The sequence below is a fragment of the Homo sapiens genome, chromosome 8 (assembly GCF_000001405.40).
Source record: "Homo sapiens chromosome 8, GRCh38.p14 Primary Assembly".
Lineage (NCBI taxonomy): Eukaryota > Metazoa > Chordata > Mammalia > Primates > Hominidae > Homo > Homo sapiens.
In genome coordinates this window covers 2889725-2900170 of record NC_000008.11, presented here as the reverse complement: position 1 = coordinate 2900170, position 10446 = coordinate 2889725, and the positions used below count along the sequence as shown (strand labels likewise).

The window sequence follows — 10446 nt, the reverse complement described above, 5'->3', positions numbered from 1 at the left end:
CCACTCATGCACAGCCCCACTGATGCACACCCATTATCAACATTCCTCAGCAGAGGGGTGCATTTGTTCGAATCAGTGAACCTCCATTGACACATCGTTGTCAGCAAAGTCCATAGATCACATGAGGGCTCACTCTTGGTGTTGTGCATTCTGTGGGTTTGGACAATTGTATAATGACATCGATCCATCATTATAGCATCATACAGAAAAGTTTCACTGCCCTAAATATCCTCTGTGCTCCGACTAGTCATCCCTCCCTTTCCCTAAACTCCTTTGCATCCACTCCTTTTTCTGTTTTGATAGTTTTTCCTTGTCTGGAACGTCATGTAGTTGAAATCGTAAAGTATGTAGGCTTTCCAAATTGGCTTCTTTCACTTAGGAATATGCATTTAGGTTTCTTCCATGTCCATTCATGGCTTGATCACTCATTCCAGCCTTCATTCATTACCTAATTCCAAAGCCATTTCCACATTTGTAGGTGTTTGTTACAGTAGCACCCCACTTCCTGTTTTTCTTTTGAAACAGGATCTCAGTCTGTCAGTCTCAGACTGGAGTGCAGTGCAGCATCATGTTTCACTGTAGCCTTGAACTGCTGTGATCAAGGGATCCTCCCACCTCAGACTCCTAAGTAGTTGGGACTACAGGGATCCACCACCACGCACAGAAATTGAACATCTTATTTTAAGTTTTTGTAGAGACAGGGTCTCACATAGTGCCCAGGCTGGTCTTGAAATGCTGCTATCAAACTATCCTCCTGCCTAAGCCTCCCAAAGCGCTGCGATTACAGGCCTTGCCAAACCTGTAATCACAGAACACCACAGCTGGCAGCATCCTACTTCTGAAAACAAATTTTATATTTGTTTGCAAGTGCTGCAATAACAAAGTACCACAAACTGGGTGGCTGAAACAACACAACCAACATAACCTACTGTGCCAAAATTAGGGTATCATATCATGGAGAAACCTAATGTATAATAATTTGTTACAAAACTACAACTTTTTGATTTTAAAATAAATATAAAATATTTAATTATTTTAGATATAAAAAATACAACTATCCCTTAAGACTAATGCTTATTTTAACATGCATGCATTTGCCACACTTCAATGGTGCCATATTACATTATGCTTCCGTACACACTCGCTAAGCTTCCTAAATATAAGCACTTGGAGAATTAAAGGGTTCAGAGTTTCATAGTCATTATCCATTTAAATTTGATTCACAGTACCTAAAAATATAAAGCTTATTTTTTTTTAGCTCTACATTTCTACATAAACAGCAAAACTTATAATGTGCCTTTTAAAAAATTATATATGTGTGTATGTATTTATGCATATATGTATGTATCTATGTAATATATGCATGTGTACATATAAGACTATATGTTGTGTGCGGGTATATGTATATGTATTATGTGACATATGTCAAGACATCCAACATGTTTCAAAAAATTGAACATCCTATTTCTGTATGGTATGATCTATTTATTTATAGGGTTAGAATAAAAGTTCACTGCAACGTTTACAGTAGATTATGTATCTTCAAGTCAATGTTCTTAAAAAAATAACTTCAAAAACAGTAAATGCAAAAAAAGCTACAAATTCTCAATAAAATGTTCTAAAAAATTAGCCAGTGCAAATGATTAGTTTAGGAAATGTCTAATTAGGCAAGCACCTAAAATATGAACCAGTTAATAGTCCAGAACATGCTTAATTGTCTACTTCAGTTTAAGATGAATTAGCCATGGATAATTTAACAGTAGCTGTTACCATATGTAAAATTTCCAATTAAATGTAGAGATATACTACCACTCCATTTTGTCTGTGATTTTTCCTTGACTTAATACTGCTTTAAAAGAACTCAATTTTCTAAATACAGCTTTGACATTTTCTGATTTCAATCAATTGTTTAAGTCTACTTGCTATGCATGCTTAATCTAATGAAAATGAAAATCTTTCTCTAGTAATAATGCCTTGGCACCTGGCAGTCTATCAACGAGGTACGTAGATATTTGTTATCTTCCCTATGAATCTTTAACATTTTTGACGACATGTTATATAGCTGTTCTGTAGACGAAAGTCATTTACACATGCAAATCACTCCTCTTTCATTCTGTATCCACAAGAGAAGCAAGATGATGAATTATTATAAGTACACTTAAATGTAACTTAACTATAATTGATTGGCATCTATGATCTTTTTAATGTGATGGATCCCAAGATGTTATACTGAAATAAAATATTATCAATATTCATGAGTATTGCTTTATTTTGAAGAATTATTATTGAACAAAAATTCATATCTAAAAGAAAAATGAGAGGCCATCTAATTCAATAATAATCAAACACTGGTAGTATAGCAAAATCCTTTAAATAAAATTAAATCTTACAAACATGATGGGAGAAACTGGCTACTGTCCTCTTCGTGTGCGTACATCTACTGCACCCCAGCTTTTCTCAGAAGATTTTAAGATCCTTTTGGGGTTCCCCTGATGAATAATGACAGTAGCCCCTGAAAAACAGTGCTACGCGTTTGTTGTGTTGTGTTGGGATGTGTGCATTTGTGTGTGTGTGTAGGAGTATAAGATATGAACTTTCTTCTGGCTGAGAGAGAATGAAGACAATGCTTTTCAACAGAGTATGAGGCACCCATTGTATCTCGAAGGGCAACATATTAATGTATTGCATGCTGATAGGGGATCTATTCTTCAGTACGAGTTTTATTTGTTATCTGTGACAAAACAAAGTATCTTGAGTTGTATGGTTGCTTAATAGATGACCAAGTTTAGCGCACATCTGTTGTATTAACTTTTCCAACCACTTTGCACTTTCATTTCCCCCTTTTCATTTCATTAAGAAAAGGATACTTTCCCACACCTGTATCTGCTTCTTGTGGGTCTATCAACTGCAGTTATCAATCCCATACCCTATAGAGTTGGGGTTGTCACCTAAACCAAGCCAAAAAAAATGTAGCTTTTTCAACTTTTGTAGTCAAATTTGGAGGAAAGATAAATCAGGGATGATAATCTCCTTTGGAGTTCAGGCTCCGAGGCTGTGAGCTCCGACCCCACCACTTGGAGAAGTTGGGGTGTTGTGAATGTAGGTTGCACGTAGCACAAGGTGAGTTACTGGACCCAGTGGTCAGAGAAAGCATACCATACCTAGATGCCAAGACAACTGCTGCTGCTGGTAACATCACTCCCAACCCCTTGGGAACGTTGACCACATTGTAGAGAAGCCCAACGAGGCCTTTAAGCAGAATGTAAACGGTTTGAGAAAGCAACCAGGTGGCCTGACATGCCATTAGTGACTTTATGTTTCAACCAAAAGAAACAGAGATCCACCTTGCCTTGCTGCCACCTAAGACTACCCGGTGTGTAAGTTCCCCCAAATAAACCTTTGACTCCCCACCAGCCTAGAGTGGTCTGCCTCTTTCTTTGATCTGAGCTTGCCCTTCATTTATGGAAAGCAATGTTTGGTTCTAGCAAGGAAGTTTTCCAGCATGGGAACATTGATTAAAAACAGTGCTCTATGTGTGTTGTGTTGTGATATGTGTGTGTGTGTGTCTGTGTGTGTAGGGGTATAAGAAAGCAGAAGAAAAAAGAAAGACACGAAGACAGGGTCTAAATGACCTTGAGCAAGCTAATCTTTAGGAATGATTTATCCTTTCCTATTCATGATGGTACTTTCCTGTATTTTAGCTCAATCTTTTTAAAATCAGGCTTCTGTCACTTGCATCTAACAATACGGAATTATGCACCCAGGATAGGAGGTGGGATTTCTGCACTTCCTACAAGGGGAAGATAAAACAATTGTTAGATGCCCACTTCCCTCCTTACGCATTCTCTACTTAAAGGGTATGAAGTATGTGGATGAGGACAAAGACGCTGATATGGCTGAGGCCCGGGGTACCTCTTTCTTTTCATGACAGAGGAAGGCATTGAGTAAAATCACCTTGTACAAAATTCCACGAAGATTTCCTGAGGGAAAGGATGAGGTCATGAGTATTCAGAACTTTGCCTGAATTATAGTATAGTTTCTATTTGTTTGTTTTTTTAAGGTTAACTGTTTCTTGAGTTAGAAATTGGGTGTAACCATTAGTGGCCACAGTCTTGTATTTTGCAAGACTTACAACAAAAACAAGGTGTTAAAGGAAAGACCAAATGCCTTTTCTGTCCAGCTTGGCTTCGGATCCTGAGAAGAATGACACACGGGAATCTTAGATAACACTAAACCTCAGAATCACCTGTGGCTGTTAGAGGGAAAAGAGCAGAGACTTGCAGTCCTGGAGAACAACAGAGGACCTTGCAGCGAGGCAGCGAGATAAAGCATTCAGATGGCCCTTGGAATTCAGCAAAAATCCACACTTTAAGACAGGAAAGCAGGTGCAGCAACATTTGGATTACACAGGAAGGTATCATAGAAAAAATAGATTAAAAACTCAGCTAATCTGTGCATGGAAGAGCCAGATAAGAGGAGTTGAAATCCTTCTCAGAAATCGTTCCCCGGGGAAGACCTCAGGTCCTCTGAAGAGCCCCTGAAGCTCCATAGAACAGTTTGGAAAACACTCATCCTATCCAATAAGAATAATGGAAAAGTGAAAAATCCACAGCTTTAAAGAACTTAAGTGAACAGCCAAAGCTTACAACTACACGTGACCCAATAGAGTAGTTCGCATTTCACGATTCCTAAGTGGCAGGCAGCTTATGTTGAGTTTCAGTTTAAACTAGTACAGATCATTTTGTTTCCAGTTCACCAAATATACAGGAAAGTGCCAAAGCCATCGAAACAAGCTCTAGAAGCTCAGATTCAAGAAGGACTGCGAAGCACTAAGGACATATTTTGGAGGTCCAGGCTGTGAAGCTGAGTCTTCTCGAAGCAACTGAATTCACCTGGGCATAGCATCAAACGTGTCATTCTTTATCGAAGTTCCGTTTTCTAGTTACCAGTGTTCGCGGCTGTCTGGCAGAGTAGAGTTCTTTGTCTTCTGGGTTCTGGCATTCTGCAGTGGCTGCTGAAATGCCTCTTCAGAACAGTATAGGTTTTTAATGCACTCATTACAAAGAATCCTGGTGGTTTTCTGAATAACCGTGTCTATAAACTCACGTTCATCTTCAAGAAAACCACACACGGGCTGCTCACGTCTCTGGACTCCAAGAGAAAGATGGTTATAACCCTGGCAGAGTCTTTACCCGCCCTGCGAACCTGCCTGTTGATCTGCTTCCCACTCCTCTTTAGACTGTAAGTTCTTTTGAAATACAACCTTGTATTTATTTGTGCTTGTCCTCCATTTCCATGTCACTGGGTTGGTGTGTCATAGACAAAACCTAGTTAATTTTTAAAAAGACAGAAGACTACTTGGTTGGACAGAATAATTGAATAATCTAAAATTTTATATATATATGTTTGTGTGTGTGTATATATGCGTATATATTTTATTTAACATATGTATGTGTATATACATATATGTATTAAATGAATATGTATTTTATTTTATGTGTGTATATATGCGTATATATTTTATTTAATATATGTATGTGTATATATGTATTAAATGAATATGTATTTTATTTTATATACATATGTGTGTATATATATACGCACACATATATATACACACACCTATATATACGTATATATGTAGATGTACCTAACATATAAAGAGAAAATAATATGCATTGGTTGGACAAAATAATTGAATAATCTCACTTTTGAGGCCTCTCAAGCAATTATTTAATATCCATTCAAGGAGTGAACACAATCAGTACATTTTATTTTCTCCTTTAAAATAAAATTGACAAATATTTACGAGGCCTATTGCATGATGAATGCCTGTATTGGGGTTTGGAAATCCGGCGGTGAAGAACCCAGAAATTGTCCTACTGTTTCATGAGGAAGAAGCCACCCTCAGCTGACCCCAGGGTCAGCGCTGCCCCTCGGAGTTGGGGCCCTGGCTGTCTCTGAGGTGGGGTCCTGGCTGTCTCTGAGGTGGGGTCCTGGCTGTCTCGGGGGTGGGGCCCTGGCTGTCTCCGAGGTGGGGCCCTGGATTTCTTGGAGGTGGTGTCAGAGGTGGGGTCATGGCGGTCTCAGACGTGGGGTCCTGGATGTCTTGGAAGTGGGGACCTGGCTGTCTCGGATGTGGGTTCCTGGCTAGCTCAGATGTGGGGTCCTGGCTGTCTCGCGGGTGTCTCCTGAGATGAGCTGATGGTCCTAATGATTTTAGCAGAGCAGAATGTGGGAGAAAAGACTCCCCCACCAGCGGTCTATTCCCAGGCTCTTTCCTTTGCCATTTCTACTCCAAGCTCACCTAAAACATCACTGAAAACTGTAGTACATGCTTTCCATTGATGGAGAGTTAATTCTGAGTACACAGAGAGTGAAACGCAGATGTTTCCCTCAGCAAATTATGCCAGGGAACCAGCTCATGTTTTTAGAATTGGAGCATGTAGCATGCTAATCATTTAGCCCACATGATTTGAAAATAAATTGATAACTTTGGGAGGCTGAGGCAGCCAGATCATTTGAGGTCATGAGTTCAAGACCAGCCTGACCAACATGGCAAAACCCCTTATCTACTAAAAATAAAAAAAAATGAGCTGGATGTGGTGGCATGCACCTGCAATTCCAGCTACTCAGGAGGCTGAGGTGGGAGAATTACTTGAACCCGGAAGGCAGAGGATTTACTGAGCCAAGATCACGCCGCTGCACTCCAGCCAGGCTGGATGACAGAGCAATACTCTGTCTCAATAAAAAAAAGAAGAAGAAAATAAAAAGAAAGTAAATTATTAAAGTGAATGCAAAACAAACTGAGGTCCAGAAAGTTTAAAGGCCAATCCCAGGGTTAACCCAATAGGTAGAGCTGTCCTTAACGTCCACACGCATTCTCAGTGTTTTACATATATAATCTATTATAATCAAATTGGGAAAACCGACTGATTTCTATTGACCAAATATATTCTATATAAGTTATGCAGGCAAGAAGAAACAAAAGTATACAAAACAAAAACAAACGAAAACCTCTGATGTTTCTTCTTTTACCTGTCAGGAATCTGGTTTTTTTTTCCTTTAATATTACAGAACCATTCTCTTTTCTCAACAAAGCCCTTTACAAAATAAAGAAAAAGACACTGGAAAGAAACATGCTCCTGTGCTCTGCAGTCTGTAATTTATTCCCTACCCCTGGTGATTCAGTTAGTACTTTGTATCCACACAGTGTGCGGAGGATTTGTAGCTCACGAGTTAAGGTCATTTTTAAAGTTGAAATATAATGTATGTGCACGTACTGACACGGTTCCATGGTGGGACTGATGTTTCGGGGACTGTGGACATGACGTGCGGGCACCATGTCATTTATCACTTCAAAAAATGCAGCTCAAGAAAGACTTTATCATATTTCGACGATGTGTGGTTCTGGATAGAATCTTGTTCTGCCAACAGACACCAACTATGATATCTGCAGTCCTTACTGCAACTCGTTACGTCCTGGAATTGCTTTGCATACCTTCATTCTTTTAAATCATATTACGTAGAGGATATTTTAAAGGAAACATCACAGAAACATATAAGATTATTTGATAGCATCACGCTTGTATTCCAAATTATAAAAGGTCATTTTGTTTGTGGAAAACTTTACAAAATGCTTCCCTAATTTATCTAGTAGAATACACATATAAGACCAGCAGAAAAATGACAATAATTCTGAAAGAAGGGATGTAAAAGTAAGTTGATTAATTTGTTTTAGAGGTTAATAATGTATGTTAATAGTGGTTAATAATTTATGTTAATAGTGGTTAATAATTTCTGTTAATATGAATACTAAATGCAGCATATCCCAGCAATGAATAAAAAACAGTAGCGAGGGTCGGGCATAGATAAATTAGTAGGACATATTTTGAAGTTCTAGAATAAACCCTAGCAAAAGTGAAATTCTAGCAGATGATGAAGGTAGCAATTAAAGAGTTCATAATCTGGAATATTAAGTAAATAATGAAGAGCTGTTGACTAGCCACGTGGAAAAATGAAGCTGGGGGAACATATTCCAGCTGCATGAAATATTTCGTTATAAAAACAAAAGCAAGCACAAAAATCTATAAAAATAAGAGATGGATATACAGAAAATGTGTTTATAAACAATTCTAGATTATGGTATCCCCCAAAGCTAGGCTCTCACACATTTTTCTTCCCTTCTTTATCTATTCTCATTCCCTGAGTGTTTTCATCCAATTCCATGGCTTAAAAACCATACCTTGACCGGGAGTGGTGGCTCACGCCTGTAATCCCAACACTTTGGGAGGCCGAGGCAGGCTGATCACCTGAGGTCAGGAATTTGAGACCAGCCTGGCCAACATGGCAAAACCCCATCTCTACTAAACCTACAAAAATTAGCTGGGCGTGGTGGCCGGTGCCTGTAATCCCAGCTACTCCGGAGGCTGAGGTGGGAGAATCACTTGAACTTGAGAGGCAGAGGTTGCAGTGAGCCAAGATCAGGGCATTGCACTCCAGCCTAGGCGACAAGAGCAAAACTCCATCTCAAAAAGGAAAAACAAAACAAAACAAAAAAACCCACACCTAGTTGGATAGTTGGATGACTCCTGAATTTCCGTATCTAGTTCTTGTCACTCCCTTGAACCTTGAACCACAGAACTCCTCAGCACACTGTCACTCTCACTTAGATATGTGACGGATGCCTCACCCTAGGCTCTTCCTGGCACTGGTTCTCCAGGCTGTTGCCCCCTGCTTTCCTCTGGATTTCTTTATCTTTTGTAGGCAAAGTTTGCAAAGAGATCCAACCACACGTTCGCACAGAGAGGCGGCCTTCACGCATACTTCATACCCCTTCCCTTTGTCTACCACTTGTATGTGCTCATGATGCCAGAACTTCTCAATGGGAATAGCCTGTTTGCACAAGTCCTAATATTCTTTCATTTTCAGCAAAACCCATTCTAATTAATATTTCTCCCCAAACCGGTAGCACTCCCAGTCTGTTAAAACTTCATAAATGGCAGCTCCATTCTCCAAGCTGCTCAGGCAAAAACCTACTTCTTGCTCTCGTTCTCATCAGCCCCAGCCTCACATCAGGGCATCATCTCCCATCTGAAGGAATGCAGTTGCCTCCATGAGTCTTGCTGCCGTCACTCTACCCTTTATGGTCTTTTCTTTCTATAGCAGCCAAATCCGTGTATTAAAAATGTAAATCTGATTCCATCACTGCTCTGTTCAAAACTCTCAAATGAGTTTCCATTACATTTGGAGTAAAACCCAAGACTATCTCCATGACTTACAAGACATCACATCATCTGCCCCCGACTTTCTCTCTGAACCCAACTTTTCTGGGCAACCCGGTCATTCTTCCCTCTGCTTTTCCACTCCTGCCTCCTTGCTCTTCCTCAAAAACCCAAAATATGATCTGACCTCAGGTTTATTTTGCTGTTCCATCCACTCAAAAAAGCCTGCCCCTACATAGCCACATGGCTGGCTCACCTCATTCAAGTTTTGCTCAAATGTCATGTCATCAAACAGGCCTTTCATGATGGCCATGGTCTTGAACTATCTCCTTTCAACTTCGTATAATAAACTGAAATGATAAACCATCATTTTGTTTTAGCCACTCAGCAGGGGTTTCCATTATGATTTGCCAGATGTAATTCTTAATTGGTAGAGTAGATTTATCATAATTAAAAGTGTGTTTTGGATTTCTTTTCCTGATTTCACCGTTTTAAATGCAATTTCAGATGTGAGCAAAATTGATATGTTCTCCTGGATTTGAGAAAGCACCTTCGCCATTGGGAACAAAGAGGAATTATTTAATCATCATGCTCTGGAAATAATCAGGATAAACAGCTAAAATGAAGCGAAAACAGGACAAAATAATTCTTCCATCTGCTTTAAGGTGGTTTTTCTTCCTATTGGATGGAGGTATGAACAAGTGCAGTGTGTTCATTCTGCATTCTGGTCTTTTCCCCTTAAAATTCTAAACTTAGAGCATTTCAAAAATAACATGAATGTGGCACTTTTGGCAAGAAGTAACTAGCACAGAACTGTGTGGGGATGCAGGGCAAGTGTTGTGCACGGGGCCTGCTGCTGGGGACAGCACCTGCCACTGGGGCCTCGTGCGTTCGTCATCAGCTGTTGCGATTGGCCCAGCATCTAGATAGTATCTGGAAAATTGAATGTGACCCTTTTCCGTAAGGATTTTTGAAATCTTTTAAAACAACAACTTGAGATGGAAATGTGGTTAAAATGCGGATAACTTTCACTTCCACTCGCCAAGATTGTGGGGTGGACTCATGAGGGGCAGCTGGACTTGCATTCAGAGTTCAGGGGCTTCCTGTGGTCCTGTTGGCTGTTTGGCTCATCGGTTGTCAATTCTCAGGGAGTTGTTTTCCCCCAGTCTCCTTCTAGACACTGTTTTAAAGCATCTGATTGGGCTCTTGAGAGAAAGATCAT

General features: G+C 39.7%; 1 long non-coding RNA gene across 5 annotated transcripts in view; it reads right to left on the bottom strand.

Annotated features, from left to right (window-relative positions):
• Positions 1-10446, bottom strand: part of LOC105377785 (uncharacterized) — a 297276-nt gene that overhangs the window by 124061 nt on the left and 162769 nt on the right. The window lies entirely within an intron of this gene.